The sequence below is a fragment of the Homo sapiens genome, chromosome 20, assembly GCF_000001405.40.
Source record: "Homo sapiens chromosome 20, GRCh38.p14 Primary Assembly".
NCBI classification, from domain to species: Eukaryota; Metazoa; Chordata; class Mammalia; order Primates; family Hominidae; genus Homo; species Homo sapiens.
The window spans coordinates 44,448,281-44,466,065 of record NC_000020.11 but is presented as its reverse complement, the minus strand read 5'-3'; the positions used below and the strand labels follow the sequence as shown (position 1 = coordinate 44,466,065).

The window sequence follows — 17,785 nt, the reverse complement described above, 5'->3', positions numbered from 1 at the left end:
CCCCTAGAGCCTCCTGGAGGGGCAGAGGTGTGGCAGCAGCAAGAAGCTTGAGTTGGATGTTGGGTTCCTAAGGGCTGACGAAGGACTTGCAAGGGACCCCTATGAGGAGAGATGCATCCCCCAAGGTTAAGAGTGAGAGGGCCCCTGTGACAGTGGCCATCTCCATGGAGCCCACGACAGAAAGGGGCAGCTTGAAGCCAGCCAGGATGGTGGCAGCTCAAGGGAGACCCTTCCTCTCCCCTTGCCATCTCCAACACCCCCCACTGTACCCCACGGGTGGGTGAGGGAAGGAGAGATAGAGAAGGAGTCACCCACACCACCTCCCTGAAGCAGGCCTGAGGGTGAGGGGAGAAGGTTTAAACCCAAATCAAATTGGGAATTTTGGTTAGAAGCTTGACTGGACATTCTCATTTCTAAATTGAGGTTGTGTTTGTGACCTAAAGTGACCATAGAATTGCCTGTTTCCTCAGAACAAGCAGAAGAATAATGGGGAGATTTCACCCAGTGGCAGGGAAAATGTTTCTCTACCAAATACATCTTAGAAAGGACACTGGGAGATACAAATTAAGGTATGCTTTGATTATGTCACAGGCTGGGTTTGTTCAACATGCTGGTCTCAGTGAGAAGGAGGATTCTCCAAAACAAGTCTAGGAAGTGAATGTTCCAGAATGTTCTAGAACTTGATTCATTAGGCAGGCAAGAAGTGTGCCTCTGGGAACCTCTTGAGCCCTTCATGGGCTAGCACACCAACACCATCCCCCCAGATGCTTCAGTTGTTGGCTTCGAATGGCTTACTATTTCCATTTCTACGGAGAACTGCCATCTCAGGAATCACCTCACCCTGGAGTTTATTCCCCTCACCCACAGGGTGGCTGGCAGCCAACAGCTGACTCGTACAGAGGTACACAAAGCCAGCCTTTTTGCTAGACTTTACCTGAGACCACATCTTTTCTTGTTTCCCTCCCTGTCTTGCTTCCCTTCATCCCTTACAGGTTCTTTCCTTTATAAATCACACAGTACCTAATCTTTGCTTCAGGCTCTGTGTCTGAGGAGCTGAAAATGATTTTGGGCATCAGGAGGTGCTTTTGTGACTGGGCTCTTTCACTAGTTCTGAGCTAGGTAATCCATTAGCGAAACTTCTAGATCCTAAATCAAACTACATAGATTCAAATCACAGCACCATTACTTCACTGCTGTGTGACCTTGGCCAATGACTAGTTACTACATCCCAGTTTTCTCATCTGTCATACAGAAGGCAAACACTGACCCACCTCACAGGGCTTTGCAAGGATTCAACATACAAAAGCACCTAGGATAGTGCCTGGCACAATCGATGGTGCCATTGTTATTCCTCCAGGCTAACAGCACTGACTAAGTGCAAAGGAAGTGGCTTTTTGCCATCTAGTTGAGGATGCTGTATCCTGGGGTAAGTGGCCAGATCATAGGATGGCTGTGGTTCAATTGTAATAAAATAATCACCCTTGGCCAGGCTGGTGGCTCACACCTGTAATCCAGCACTTTGGGAGGCCGAAGCAGGTGGATCACCTGACGTCAGGAGTTCGAGACCAGCCTGGCTAACATGGTGAAACCTTGTCTCCACTAAAAATACAAAAATTAGCCAGGCATGGTGGTGCGTGCCTGTAATCCCAGCTACTTGGGAGGCTGAGGCAGGAGAATCACTTGAACCTGGGAGGCGGAGGTTGCAGTGAGCTGAGATTGCAACACTGCACGAGACTCCATCTCAAAAACAACAACAACAACAAAAACCCACCGTTTATGGAACCCCTACTATGTCCCAGTCCCTGTTCTATGTGCTGCATATGTGCTTATGTGCTAGTTCACTCTGTCTTCACTACCTTTCAAAACTGATGTAATTATCTCCTTTCTTTTTTGAGATGGAGTCTCGCTCTGTTGCCAGGCTGGAGTACAGTGGCACGATCTTGACTCACTGCAACCTCCGCCTCCCGGGTTCATGTGATTCTCCTGCCTCAGCCTCCCGAGTAGCTGGGACTACAGGTGCACACCACCATGCCCAGCTAATTTTTGTACTTTCAGTAGAGATGGGGTTTCACCATGTTGGCCAGGATGGTCTCGATCTCTTGACCTCATGATCTGCCTGCCTCAGCCTCCTAAAGTGCTGGGATTACAGGCGTGAGCCACTGCACCCGGCCAATTATCTCCATTTTACACATGAAAACACTGAGGTCCAGACAGTCTAAGAAACCATCTATTAGATCCACAGGTTAAAAAAAATGAGTGCATCTAAAATGACTATAATTAAAAAGGCCAGACTGGGAAGTAGTTTGCAGTTTCTTAAAAAGTTAAACACACACTTATGTGACCAGCAATTGTATTCCTGCATAATGAAAGCGTTTGTCCTCTCAAAGACATGAACATGAGTGTTCATAGCAGTTTTATTTGTAATAGGCAAAAACTGGGGGAAACAATGACATGCCCAGGGGCATGGGTGAAGAAACTATGGCTTCTGTATCTTTCTTTGTTGTTTGTTTGAGACAAAGTGGAGTGCAGTGGTGCGATCACGGCTCACTGCAGCTCGACCTTAGGGCTCAAGCGATTCTCCCACCTCAACCTCCTGAGTAGCTGAGACTACAGACAGGCACATGCCACCATGCCTGGCTAATTTTTTGGTGTTTAGTAGAGACACGGTTTCGCTATGTGGCCCAGGCTGGTCTCAAACTCCTGGGCTCAAGTGATCTGCTCGTCTCAGCCTCCCAAAGTGTTGGGATTACAGGTGTGAGCCACCGTGCTTCACCTGTGAGATCTATTAGGTTGGTGCAAAAGTGATTGCGGTTTTTGCCGTTAAAAGTAATGGCGAAATGGCCAGGCATGGTGGTTCATGCCTGAATGAGAGAAGTCAGACAGAAAGAGTACATATTTGCGGGGCGCAGCGGCTCACGCCTGTAATCCTAGCACTTGGAGAGGCTGAGGTGGGCGGATCACCTGAAGCCAGGAGTTCGAGACTACTAAAAATACAAAAAAAAAAAAAATTAGCCAGGTATGGTAGCGCACGCCTGTGATCCCAGCTACTAAGGCTGAGGCAGGAGAATTGCTTGAACCCCTGGGGGGCAGAGGTTTCAGTGACCCGAGATTTCACCACTGCACTCCAGCCTGGGCAACAGAGAGAGGCTCTGTCTCAAAAAAAAAAAAAAAAAAATTAAGACAGAGTACATATAGCATGATTTCATTTCTATAAAATCCCAGAAAATGTAAAGCCATCTATAGTGAAAGAAAGCAACCTATATTGGTGATGGTTACCTGGGAATGGGGTGGTGGGATGAATGGGGGATGGCTTATAAACGAGCATGAAGCTTTTGGAAGCGATGGAAACACTTGGCATCTTGATTGTGGTGATGGTTCCTTGGGTATGTACATATGTTGAAACTCATCAGATTATTCAATTTAAGTATGTTTAGTTTATTGAACATCATTATATCTCAACAATGCTGTTTATTTTTTATTTTTATTTTTGAGACTGAGTCTCACTTTGTCACCCAGGCACGTTCTTGGCTCACTGCAACCTCCACCTTCTGGGTTCAAATGATTCTCCTGCCTCAGCCTCCCGAGTAGCTGGGATTACAGGTGTGCATCACCACGCCCAGCTAATTTTTGTATTTTTAGTAGAGATGGGGTTTCACCATGTTGGCCACTCTGGTCTCGAACTCCTGACCTCAGGTGACTCGCCTGCCTTGGCCTCCCAAAGTGTTGGAATTATAGACGTGAACCACTGTGTCTGGCGATAATGCTGATTTTTTTTTAAACTAGAGTGGCACAATGAAGATTTGAACCCACGTATGTCTCACTGGACGTATGCCCAGGAACTGGTAAGCTATAAAAAGACCTCCTTTATTGTCTGGAGACATAGAATTAGTCCAAACGGTGTCACCTCCAGGAAGCCTTACTGTCACTTCCATGGAGGACAGTGGCCTGGGCCCACACCACCCTCCTGCCTGTCTTCAGCCTTTGCTAGTGGATCCTTTTCCCACTTCGAAGACTCCCCTTACATCCTCCTCCATGTTGTCCTCCAAATGTGCTGGCTGAGAGCCCAGCGCCTGAATCAGAGGGACCTGGGTTTGAATCCCACCTCTGCCATTGAACACCAGCTGTCTGACCTTGACTGCGTTCCTTTGCTTCTCTGGGCTTCAGATTCCCCATCTGAATAATAATAGAAGCTACCTTGGGATTGCCTCAAGGATCAAATGCGAGAGAGTTCACCTTAAACAATGAGTGGAGGGCCTGGTGTGTAATAAAGCACTCAATAAATGTTAACTATTATTGATCTTCACCTGGGCAGTGGCTGCTGACTGTTTAAGTTTCTCAGCCTTTGAATCAGTTACTTCCGACCCAGCTCTATTTATTGACATGGAAAGATGCCCAAAGCGTACTGCTGAAGGGAAAAAAGCAGGCTACAAAAGAATATATGCCTCACAGGCCATTTTAAAGATCAAAGCTAACAATGACATCTAGCTCCTAGTAGGGTACCTGGGACACAGGAAACTGTCACTGAAAGCTAGCTGTGACTATTAGTAATATGAAAGGATTTTTGTAGTCAGTATGATGCCACATTCAAATATTATGTGAGTTCCTGTGAAACGAGATGATATTTGCAATGTGCTTGCATCAAAGGGAGGTAGAGCTGCGTGTTCCCTTCTGCCTTCCTTCTGACACATTTCAGGGAGTGACCATGGGCAGGGCTTGAGTTGGCCTTGGGACCCATTGATTTGATGTGAATTTTGCTACTTTTTTTTTTTTTAAGAGACAGAGTCTCACAGTTTGGACTGCAGTGGCTATTCACAGGCGTGATCCCACCACTGATCAGGGCGTGAGATTTGACCTGCTCTGTTTCCAGCCTGGGCCAGTTCACCTCTCCTTAGGCAACCTGGTGTTTCTTTGCTCCCAGGAGGTCATGTTTTGGTCCTTTTTTATGTGGCACTGGAGTGAAAGAAAAGAAAAGCATTGCCCTTTGGCATTGAGACTACAAACTTGGGTTTAGGGTGCTCTTTGTAATAACTGAGGTACTATAACAAATTAAACACTCGAGGGCGCTCCAGTCTATCAGCAATAGAGAGAAATACAAAAAGCCATGATAATAACGATGCTGTATGAATGCTGCTGTTACATTTAACAATGCTGTTTACATTTAACATTGAGTTCTTACTATGAGAGCCTAAAATGTAGCAAGAGAGTCACAAACTTTATCACATTTTAACCTTGCAAACATCCCATCAGTTAGAGAATATTATCAAAGATTTTATAATAGGGCATATCGCTCTGTGGGATTTAAAAAATTTGTGTATTATATATATACGTATATACATATATATACACATATATACGTATATACATATATATATACGTATATACATATATATACACATATATATATATGTATATATATATAATTTTTTTTGAGACAGGGTCTCACTCTGTCGCCCAGGCTGGAGTGCAGTGGCACAATTGCGGCTCACAGTAGCCGAGATCTCCTGGGCTCAAGCAATCCTCCTGCCTCAGCCTTCCAAGAAGCTGGGACTACGGGTATGCACAACCATACCTGGCTGATTTTTTAATTTTTCTGTAGAGACAGGGTCTTGCCATGTTGCCCAAGCTGGCCTTTGACCTCCCAAAGTACTGGGATTACAGACATGAGCCACCGCAACTGGCCTAAAAATATTTTTTTATGGAGTTGTAATTCACAAGTGTTGTAAAAGGTAAAAACATTAAGTGTACAGCTTGGTGAATTGTTACATGTGTATACACACAGGTAACCTCCATCCAGATCAAGATGTAAAGCTTTTCTAATATCCTTTCTACTCACTCCTACTCCCACCCAACGAAACCATGCTCCTGATTCTATTACCATTTATTCGTTTTGCTTATTTCTGAACTTCACATAAATGGAATCATACATATGCAAACTTTAGGGTTGCCATAAAAATTCAGGATGTCATTTTATTTTTTTTTTTTTTGAGATGGAGTCTTGCCCTTTCACCCAGGCTGGAGTGCAATGACATGATCTCAGCTCACTGCAATCTCCGCCTCCCAAGTTCAAGTGATTCTCCTGTCTCAGCCTCCCAAGTAGCTGGGATTACAGGCACGTGCCACCATGCCTGGCTAATTTTTTTTTTTTTTTTTTTTGTATCTTTAGTAGAGACAGGGTTTCACCATGTTGGCCAGGCTGGTCTCAAACTCCTGACCTCATGATCCTCCCGTCTTGGCCTCCCAAAGTGCTGGGATTACAGGCATGAGCCACCGCACCTGGCATCAATGTGCTCTTCTTAATCACTGTATAGTATTCTTTTTCTTTTTCTTTTTTTTAGAGATGGGGGTCTTGGTATATTGCCCAAGCTGGTCTCAAACTCCTGAGCTCAAGTAATCCACCTGCTTCAGCCTTCCAAAGTGTTGGGATTATAGGCATGAGCCACGGTTCCCAGCCCATGAGCCACTCAATTGCTGTATAGTATTCTATTGTACAAATGTACCACCATGTACTTATTCCTTCTACTGTCGGTGGCCAAGGGTGGGTTATCTTAGAAAAGCAGTATAGAGTGGTGGTAAGTGAATGCACTGTGGTATCAGAGGCCTGGGGGACTTGTCTCTTAGCTCCACCTCTTACTTGTGACCTTAGCCAAGTTACTTAATCTCCTTATGCCTCAGCTAACTCCACATTAATATGGACTAATAATAGTACCTCAAATGCTGTTGTATGGTTTAAAGGAGATATTCCATATAAACCACTTCAAATTAGTCCCAGCACAGAGTTAACTCAGTACATGTTATCTGTGTCATACCCATGAAACCTAGGAGAAGACTGAAGTTCAGAGGCTTGAAGATACTTGCTCAAAGTCACACACCCAGTATGTAACAGATCCCTTTGTCATGGATATTGACTAAATTAGAGTCATTCATTCATTCAACATTTTTTTTTTTGCACATCTATTATGTGCCAAGCACTCTTTTAGGACCTGAAACAGCCAGAAAGTTTCTACCGATATGAAACGTACATTCTTTTTATTTTTTTGAGATAGGGTCTCACTCTGTTGCCCAGGCTGCAGCGCAGTGGCACAATCTTGGCTCACTGCAACCTCTACCTCCCAAGGCTCAAGCAATCCTCCCACCTCAGCCTCCCAATTAGTTGGGACTACAGCTGCACATTGCAACACCTTAGGGAGGTCTCACTAAGTTGCCCAGACTGGTCTCAAACTCCTGGGCTCAAGTGATCCTCCTGCCTTGGCCTCCCAAAGTGCTGGGATTACAGGTGTGAGCCACTGTCTCCAGCCTAAATCAAATTCTTACTTATAGAAAGAAGCTTATAGACATGGCAATGTGCCTGGAATATCTTGTTTAGTGTGTATATGTGTGTATATATATATGTATAAATGTGTGTATACATATATGTATATATGTGTGTATACACACACACACACACACACACATATATATATACGTATATATACATATATATGTGTATATACATATATAAAATCAGGTCCTAAGACCATAAGCAGGTGTGGTATGTCTGCATGGAGCCCCGTCTGGGGATACACTGAACAACCCTTTAAATAGCACTTATTCTGTGTTGAGTGCTGTGCTAAGCACTCCACAAATGGTTAGCTTGTTTCATGCTCCTAACATTTAATACCCTATGTGTGACAGGTGCTGCCATTATACAGATTTGCAGGTAAAGAAATAGGCAGCAGAGAGGCTACACTCTAGCATGGTTAGGTTGCAAGCCAGCACGTGGCCCTGGGCACTTTGGTCTGAGTCTGTGCTCTTGACCACTTAGCTCTGCTACCTCTGCTAAGAGCATTTTTCTCTGGGTAGTAAAATTTCCACATTTTGAACTTTCTTATTTGTACTTCTCTTTATTGGTTGAGCTTTTGTGATAAGTAGGTTCCGTTTTCATTAAAAAAATTACTGGAGTTCTAATATGGGTTTTTGATGTCTTTAAGAATTAACTATGAATGCCTGCAGGGAAGGCTAGAATCCTAAGAGGGAGTCATTTTTCCAAAGGGACAAACCACTCCGGTCTCTTTTTGTGGCAATGAGACTACTGTCCTTGGTGTTGAGGACCCAGGGGCCAGCCCTGACTTTCTCCCACCCACTGTGATCCTGGGCAAGTCCCTGGTGTCCCTGTCACTACCTTCCAACAGCGAGGCACCTGGCATGGAGTGGCCCTTAATAAATATCCATTGGATAGAGGAAGAATGAACCACTGTCTCCTCTGGGCCTTGCTCCACCTCCACCACCACCAATATCTGCTCCCTGCCTATCCTTGGGGCCTTGAGAATTAACGAATGAATGAAGTCACTGTAAAGTGCTCATTATTTACAGGTTTTTATATTTATTTATTTTGAGACAGAGTCTCACTCTGTGGCCCAGGCTGGAGTGCAATGGCACGATCTTGGTTCACTGCAACCTCCGCCTCCCGGGTTCAAGTGATTCTCCTGCCTCAGCCTCCTGAGTAGCTGGGATTACAGGCACCCGCCACCATGCCCAGCTAATTTTTGTATTTTTAGTAGAGATGGGGTTTCACCATGTCGGCCAGGCTGGTCTTGAACCCTTGACCTCAAGCGATCCACCCACCTTGGCCTCCCAAAGTGCTGGGATTGCAGGTGTGAGCCACCACACCTGGCCTTGTTTGTAGGTTTTTAGAAAGGCAAACAGCAAGCAACATCAGACCCAACCAGATGGATAACTAATGGTGACCCCCCGAGGCTAGGGGAGTGTCCTTCCAAGCGTCCCTGAAACCAATGTGCAGGCTGCATCAGAGACAGGCCCAGGCCTTGCTGCTGGGAGTTTCCTGCCTGTGACCACCCCCACCTCGTGACCCGGCTCCTATCACCCCAGCCTCAGAAAGGCTGGGCCGCAGGGCCATAAATGCCTGCTATCATCAGTCCGTATCTCTAGAGCTGGGCTGTTTGCCAGGAGCCCTGCAATTATTTTTATTACATACAAGTCCTATAATTAATTTTTATCACTGTTTTCTCACAGCCACCTTGCAAGGAGGGCTAGTTTTGCTCTCTTTTGGTTTGGAGTTGGGGGAACTGGAACCCAGGCCTTGAAGGGGTTTCATGGAATTTCCTGGCTTTGCCCAAAGCTCTAGAAAGGGTTAGGGTTTGAATTCATAGACCGTGCTGGGGTCCGAGCAGAGAGTTGGCAGCAAGGTGGGGTGGGTGGTGGAGAATAGCCATTCAGAGTAGACAAAAGCCCTGAGGCTTGGCTGCTTCTTAGCTGTGTGACCTTAGGCAAGTCACTCAAACTCTCTGTGCCTTAGGTCCTTTTGTTTTGTTTTGTCTTGTTTTGTTTTTGAGACGGAGTTTCACTCTTGTTGCCCAGGCAGGAATGCAATGGTGCGATCTCGGCTCACCGCAAACTCTGCCTCCCGGGTTCAAGCGATTCTCCTGCCTCAGCTTCCTGAGTAGCTGGGATTATAGGCATGCACCACTATGCCCAGCTAATTTTGTATTTTTAGTAGAAATGGGGTTTCTCCATGTTTGTCAGGCTGGTCTCTAACTCCTGACCTCAGGTGATCTGCCCGCCTAGGCCTCCCAAAGTGCTGGGATTATAGGTGTGAGCTACCGCGCCCGGCTCCCCCCACCGTTTTTTGTTTTTTTTTATAAGATACATGGTCTTGATCTGTTGCCCAGGCTGAAGTGCAGTGGCCTGATCATAGCTCACTGCAGCCTTGAGCTCCTGGGCTCAAGTGTTCCTCTTGCCTCAACCTCCTGAGCAGCTAGGACTACAGGCAGGCATCACCGAGCCCAGCTAATTCGAAAAATCTTTTTTGGTAGAGATGGAGGTTTTACTATGTTGCCCAGGCTGGTCTTGAACTCCTGGCCACAAGCAATCCTCCTATCTCGGCCTCCCAAAATTCTGAGATTAATAGGCATGAACCACTGTTCCTGGCTGTGCCTTAGGAAGGAATAACAATACTCACCTCATCAGTTAGTACAGATGAGTGCTCAGTAACTGAGGTTCTATTGACTCTTGAGTCGGAAACTGGATTCATCCAGGACCTGTCCCACTGGATGACTTGGTCATGCCCCTTGCCATCTCTGAGCCTCAGATGCCTCATCTGTAAAATGGACATCATCTTGCCTGCCGCACCCCCTGGTCTCTCATCTCTAGTCGCATCGGTCTTCACAGCTTCCAACTGCCCCCAGCTTTGCCTTGTTAACTCCCAATTATCCACTCAGTTGTTCTTCCTTCTCTCCCTCCCTTCTTCTCTTCACTCATTTAATAAATATTTTGTGACACCTGCTATGTGCCAGGTGATGGATAAGACAGGCAAAATCATTGTCTTCATGAAGGGGAGATAGACAATAAACTAAAAAAAGAAAAAAAGGGCCGGGCACAGTGTCTCACGTCCATAATCCCAGCATTTTGGGAGGCCGAGGCAGGCAGATCACCCGAGGTCAGGAGTTCAAGACCAGCCTGGCCAACATGGTGAAATCCCGTCTCTACTAAAAATACAAAAAAATAGACAGGCATGGTGGTGGGTGCTCATAATGCCAGCTACTTGGGAGGCTGAGGCAGGAGAATAGCTTGAACCCAGGAGGCAGAGGTTGCATTGAGCCGAGATCTTGCCATGCACTCCAGCCTGGGTGACAGAGCGAGATTCCATCTCAAAAAAAATAAAAAAGGAAAAAAGAAAGAAAACCCCAAATAAACAAGGGAATTGCAGACTGTAATCAGCATTTCCTAAGGGGAAGTTATAGTACCCTAAGAGGAAGTAACTGGGAAGGTTGCTTCCTAGAAAGGCCTCTCCAAGGAGACACTTTTGTTTTTTCATTTTGTTTTTTGTTTTTTTGAAACAGGGTCTGGCTCTGTTGTCCAGGCTGGAGTTCAGTGGTGAGCCCAGCCCTGACAATTGTATTCTTTTCACCCTATTCAGCAAAGGGTCGTCAGATGCTTCCCATACTTGGAATGGATTATTTCCTCATTTGTTTTCCCTTCTATCCAAACACAATCCTGCTTTGTCCAGAGAAATATTTCCAAATGGTAATGGTTTCTGTGTATGTGTTTCAAAAAATTTTACATAAATTTTGAAGTATAACGCACATACGGCTTGGCATGATGGCTAATGCCTGTAATCCTAACACTTTGGGATGCTGAGTCGGGAGGATCACTAGAGCCCAGGAGTTGGAGGCTAGCTTGGGCAACATAGCAAAACCCCCTGCCTCTACAAATAATAATAATAAATTAGCCAGGCATGGTGGCACGTGCCTGTATGTAGTCCCAGCTACTCGGGAGGCTGAGGTGGGAGGATTGCCTGAGCCTCAGAAGGTGGAGGCTGCAGCGAGCTGTACTCCACCTGGGTGCCACTGCACTCCAGCCTGGGTGACAAATATTTCAACTCAAAAGAAAACAAAAACCAAAAAACAGACATCAAAAAATGCACAAACTCAAGTGTGCAGCTCAATGAATCATCGCAAAGAGAACCCCCATGCCACTGGGACCCAGATGAAGAAATGGAACCCGGCCAGGCTCCCAGAAGTCTTCCCTTTGCCCCTCCCAATCACTCACTAGCACCCCTCTCCAGGGTAACCACAAGCCTGACTCCTGACACCAGAGATGAGTCTTGTCTGTTGTTAAACATTAAAGAAACGGAATAACACAGGATGTAGTCTTTTGTGTCTGGCTTATGTTTGTGAGATTCATCCATATTTTTCATAGCTAGAGTTTATTCTTGTTACTGTATAGTGTTCCATTGAATGAATATGCCACAGTTTCAAATAGTTTTTTGTTTTATTTTATTTTATTTTTTTTTTTGAGACGGAGTCTTGCTCTGTCGCCCAGGCTGGAGTGCAGTGGCGGGATCTCGGCTCACTGCAAGCTCCGCCTCCCTGGTTCACGCCATTCTCCTGCCTCAGCCTCCCAAGTAGCTGGGACTACAGGCGCCCGCCACTACGCCCGGCTAATTTTTTGTATTTTTAGTAGAGACGGGGTTTCACCGTTTTAGCCGGGATGGTCTCGATCTCCTGACCTCGTGATCCGCCCGCCTCGGCCTCCCAAAGTGCTGGGATTACAGGCGTGAGCCACCACACCTGGCCAGTGTTGTTGTGGTTGTTGTTTTTAACAGCTTTCCTGATAATCTGAGCACACATTCAATTTGGGCAGGGCAGCGGTGGAAGGAGAGCAGGAACTGGGTTTGACCCACAGGCACGTTTTGTTTCACACACCTTGTGTTTTTGTATTGTTTTCATTGAATTAGTTGCTGATAAAGATGGATGTTTGTCTCCTCCTGAAGGATCTGCCATTGCTGGTCCCCAATTCCAAGTGCCTGGAGTTGAGTCCTGGCTGCATCTTCTCAGCTCATGCATTCTATTCCCGTTTGCCACAGTCCCCACCACTCTCTGTTGCCCTAAAACCACTCACTGACATCACCCACCTGGCCCTGTAAACATTTGAGTCTTCCATTCTAGCTTTAATTCAGCAGAGGTGGCCAAAAATGCTTTATTCTAAGGTCTGCACAACAATGGGCTAATCAAGCAGCTCAAGTTAGTTTATACGTGGCCTCCATAGTGTTAAATTTTGGGATGCATATTTCAGTGTTCAAAAATGTATTGTCATTATTACTATTTCAAAAATGTTTTAAAATATATTTCCATTATTATTATTATCATCATTATTGATATTATTACTGTCTCCAAAGACGTTTTAAAAATATATTTGCCTGGCGTGGTGGCTCACGCCTGTAATCCCAGCACTTTGGGAGGCCGAGGTGGGCAGATCTCTTGAAGTCAGGAGTTTGAAACCAGCCTGGCCAAAATGGTGAAACTCCATCTCTACTAAAAATACAAAAATTAGCTGCGCATAGCGGTGCATGCTTGTAATCTCAGCTACTTGGGAGGAGGCTGAGGCTAAAGAATCACTTGAGGCCGGGAGGTAGAGGTTGCAGTGAGCTAAGATCATGTCACGGCACTCCAGCCTGGGTGACAGAGCCGAGACTTCCTCTCAAAAAATAAAAAATAAAAATATATTCAAATATATAGCACAGGTCAAATTAAATATGGCAACTCTGGACCCAGATGGCCTGGAATCAAATCCTGGCTTTACTACTCAGGAGTTGTGTGAACTCAGGCAATTACAGAACCTTTCTGTGCGATTGTATAAAGAGAGATGTTAATATTTACCTTGCTGGGTTCTTATAAAGATTAAATGAGCTAATACTTGTGAAGTCAGTGCCTGGCACAAAATAAGTATTCAACATATATTGTTTGTTTATTTATTTATTTATTTTGAGATGGAGTCTCGCTCTGTTGCCCAGGCTGGAGTGCAGTGGCACGATCTTGGCTCACTGCAACCTCTGCCCGCTGGGTTGAAGCGATTCTCCTGCCTCAGCCTCCCAAGTAGGTAGAATTACAGGCATCTGCCACCACTCCCAGCTAATTTTTGTGTTTTTAGTAGAGACGGGGTTTCGCCATGTTGGCCAGGCTGGTCTCATACTCCTGACCTCAAGTGATTTGCCCGAGCCAGCCTCCCTAAGTGCTGGGATTACAGGCGTGAGCCACTGTGTCGGGCAGCTAGCTATTTATTATCTTTAAAATTAGTATGGGCAAGCTGATCATTTGACCTGCTGGGGTCACCAGCCATCCTAATCCGCTGAGACTGAGGGAGAGTTTCAGGACACAGGACTTTCAGAGCTAAAACTAGACAAGTCCTGGGCAAAAGAGGATGAGTTGGTCACCCTAGCCCTGCCTGATGGTAATATTTCCCTCCAGTTTAACAGACTGACCTTTTACTTGTATTAAATTACAGGTTTGATGTTGAAAATGATATTTGCACTACGTATTGTAGAACCCCTCTCAAGCATCCCTATGATATAATTTCTGCAAAACACTAATCTTGCTTATATTTTCCTCACGTTACAGATTGGGAAAGTGAGGCCCAGGGGTGCAAACCAGTCCAATATTAGCGGCAGAGCTCTTCCCTAGACCCGTCTTGAAGCTGCTGCCCCATCATTTCCTCCAGGTAGCTGGTGGATACTGTTTATCTGGTGCTCACTATGCCCTAGGTAACACTGTAAGTGATTTTCATTAAATTTAATCTCATTCAATCTTAGGAGGTGGGTTCTACCATTATAACCATTTTAGAGACGGGATGCTCATAGTTGTCTTCTGTCCCACTCACCCACCCATACCCCTGGGACTAGAATTCATTCATTTGGTACATCTTTGCCTGATTGTGGTTTCCTTGGAACTTTTGTTACAGGGAAACTCACCAGGGTTTCCTGGGTCTTGTTTAGCCATTGAGCCTAACCTTCTGTCTGTTTTAAGACTTTTTTTTGGGGGGGGTGGGGGGGACAGAGTCTTGCTCTGTCACCCAGGTTGGAGTGCAGTGGCGCAATCTCAGCCCACTGCAACCTCCACCTCCCAGATTCAAGCAGTTCTCCCTGCCTCAGCCTCCCGAGTAGTGGCTTGGGATTACAGGCGCTCACCACCATGCCCAGATAATTTTTTTTTTTTTTGGTATTTTTAGTAGAGACAGGGTTTCACCATGTTGGCCAGTCTGGTTTCAAACTCCTGACCTCAGGTGATCCACCCACCTTGGCCTCCCAAAATGCTGGGATTACAGGCGTGAGCCACTGAGCCTGGCCTTGTTTTAAGATATTTTTAAAGGACCTTTTGTTTCAATTGGCAAATGTCTGCTGCTCTCCTACTACTGGGGCTACGTGGTGACTGACAAAGAGACTTTGCCCTCAAGGACTCGAGGCTGCTGGGGAACCCCGCTCACCAGGGTCTCTCTCCACTGCACTATGGCCAGCTTGAGGGCAAGGATGGGGTCTTTTCATCTCTGTGTCACTAAGAGGAGATCAACAGCAGGTGTGGAAACTGGCAGATCACACCACAAAGCAGAGAGGCCAGCAGGAGTCCAGAATCCCAGCCATGAACTGTCGGGCTTCAGGCAGGGAGCAGTGGGAGACCCAAAGTCTCCGTGCTATTGATATTTGGGGCTGGCTAATTCTGTTGTGGGGGATGTCCTGTGCGGAGTAGGATGGTTAGCACTATCTGTTGCCTCTGCCAGTAGCATCTTCTCTACCAGTCATGACAACCTAAAGTGTCTCCAGACATCACCGAATGTCCCCTGGGGGCAAAGTCACCCCAGATTGTGAACCACTGGCTTAACTGAAGCAAACTTAATGAAGGAAGTGTTTGCAGAGGTGAGGCATGCAGGGACTGGCAACAGTGGGGAGCTGTTAGCACCCCAAGGCCAAAGAGGTGAGAGAGAGAATGGTGTTACTTGACCCAGAGATAGCTGGAGCCATATAAGTGAGGCTAAGACAGGAGTTAAGACCATGGAGAAATTCAGCCACTGCCAAAATTAAGGCAAAACAGGGAGGGAGCTGGGGGTGGCATAAACATGCCCAGTTCTCCCTCATCCTGCCCTTTTATCTCTGCCGATTCCTCCCCTTGGCTGAATGTATTGTGATGTCAGAAGGCACAGGTGCCTCCAGGCCACAGAGCAGGACAGACAGGGTTGGAGATTGGACCACTCGTGTGTGGATGAGGTGGGTAAGCAGAGAAGAACCATCACAGGGAGGCAGGAACAGGCCCCAGAAGACAGGACATTTGTGTACTTCTTGGAGGACGTGTACTTCCCCAGTTGGAGAAAGCTGGGAAACAGTATCTCACCAGCAGGAAGAGCAGGCATGAAGCCATGGAGCTCTGAGACAGCCTGGCTCCCTGCATTGTTTATTTAATTGTGATTGTTTGTTTGATTGATTCTGCTCTGTGTGCATGTGGTGAAAGTAAAACATTTCAAAAGGTACAAAAGGGCATAAAATGAGAAGTAGGTCTTCCTCCCACCCCGACCCCAGCTACCCAGCCCCCCAACACCCACCCCGAAAGCCATCTCACTCTCCGGTCTCTCATCGCCTTCCGGAAATAGTTGGTGCACATGCTAGCTTGTGTCACTTAAACTCCTAATTTGATTTAATTTCACGGGTGTTTACAGAGCCCCTACTGTGTGCAAAGAAATGAACTGAGCTCTCTGGCCTCACACCCTAAGCCCAACCCTGATCCACTAAGCACTGGCAGCTTCAGGCCCACCACTGCTGGCCTCCCATCTCTTTCTCCAAGCAACGGGTAAGCCTGTCACAGTTATGTTGTTCAATTTATTTTATTTTATTTTATTTTATTTTTTGAGGTGGAGTCTTGTTCTGTCACCCAGGCTGGAGTGCAGTGTAGCTATCTCAGCTCACTGCAACCTCTGTCTCCCGGGTTCAAGCGATTCTCCCACTGCAGCCTCCCGAATAGCTGGGATTACAGGCACCCGCCACTACGCCCTGCTAATTTTTGTGTTTTTAGTAGAGATGGGGTTTGACCATGTTGGCCAGGCTGGTCTTAAACTCCTGGCCTCAAGTGATCCACCTGTCTCGGCCTCCCAAAGTGCTGGGATTACAGGTGTGAGCCACCATGCCCGGCTTCAATGGATGTTTTGTGGATTGGACTGAATTAAAACTGAACCATTGGTGAGAAGCAAATTAGAATGCAGGAGACACATAAACCTTGGGTGTGGTTCAGGAGACCATGTGTTTTGGGGAGAGGAGTGAGGGTTCTGTCTCCAAAGACTTGCTCTTGCTGGAGCCAATGGACAGTTAGTTGTCTAAGAAGGGAATGCCTATAGTGTGACCTAGAGGGGGCGCTAGAGTGTGAGCAGGTTGGGACTTGATCTGGCTTAGATCAGTCCAGGGAAGACCAGATCTTGCCTGGCTACCCCCAGCTGGTGTCTGTAGCCCTTGGGGGAGTTTAAGACCAGGAAAGGGGAGTTTCTGGCCAGCTGCAGAAATGGGGAATTCCACAAACAACATGTAAACTTGTCGGTACCCGGAAGCAAACAACCAAATCTGGGTATCAGATGCCCAGGCAGAAGCCGGGAGGCCAGAGCAGCCCAGGTCTCCAGGAGCAGACAAGGACCAGGCTCTTCCTTGCCTGCCCTGCTCTTCCCTGCTGATGTCTTGTTCTCTCAACACCCGGCTCTTTCCTGACAGTGCCTGTGTGTTGAGCACTTCCAGACAAACACGCCTGCCATGATGGACCACATTTCTGTGCAGATGCTGAGTACACACCGTCTCCCACTCCCACGGCTGCTTTGCAAGGACAGTGTTAATGATCCTCACTTTGTAAACAAGGAAAACTGAAGCTCAGAAAGGAGGGATGGAGGGCGGTAAGGTTGGGCATCCTACACATATGGTGATATCATTGAACATTTTGTGTTGAAGAATGATGGAGTGTTGAACACAGAATCAGAGAATTTTACTTTATTTTATTTTTTGAGAAGGAGTCTCAATCTGTCAACCAGGCTGGAGTGCAGTGGCGCGATCTCGGCTCAGGGCAACTTCCACCTCCTGGGTTCAAGGGATCCTCCTGCCTCAGCCTCCCGAGTCGCAGGGATCACAGGCATGTACTACCAGGCCCGGCTAATTGTTTTGTGTTTTTGGTGGAGACGGGGTTTCACAATGTTGGCCAGGCTGGTCTCAAACTCCTGACCTCAAGTGATCTGCCCACCTTGGCCTCGCAAAGTACTGGGATTACAGGCATGAGCCACTGTGCCTGGCCAAGAATTTTAGAATCATAAAATCTAGGAGTCCTGGGCTCCTAGGTTACCAGTATAACCCACACTGCCACCAACTCCCTGTCCATTCCCCACACTGTAAATGAAATGTCTCTCTGGGGCCCACCTCCCATTCACTCAGGCCTCTTCTCTCACCTGGGATCTTGTTCCAGACTTGTCTCTTGTCTCTCCTCCTTCCAAACCCGTACAC

General features: G+C 46.6%; 2 long non-coding RNA genes across 3 annotated transcripts; both read left to right on the top strand.

The window, feature by feature from the left end:
• Positions 1 to 721: 721 nt before the first annotated feature.
• LINC01620 (long intergenic non-protein coding RNA 1620) lies at positions 722 to 14,082 on the top strand. Of its 2 annotated transcripts, NR_132343.1 has the most exons (3): positions 722 to 901; positions 3,784 to 3,842; positions 13,893 to 14,082. It is a non-coding gene; the product is annotated as a long intergenic non-protein coding RNA 1620 (long non-coding RNA). The 2 variants fall into 2 exon arrangements; NR_132342.1 differs by lacking the exon at positions 13,893 to 14,082 and having other exon boundaries at positions 3,784 to 4,303.
• Positions 14,083 to 15,508: 1,426 nt separating this feature from the next.
• On the top strand, positions 15,509 to 17,289 carry LINC01430 (long intergenic non-protein coding RNA 1430). The gene is made up of 3 exons (NR_109893.1): positions 15,509 to 15,529; positions 15,976 to 16,106; positions 17,012 to 17,289. It is a non-coding gene; the product is annotated as a long intergenic non-protein coding RNA 1430 (long non-coding RNA).
• Positions 17,290 to 17,785: the final 496 nt, after the last annotated feature.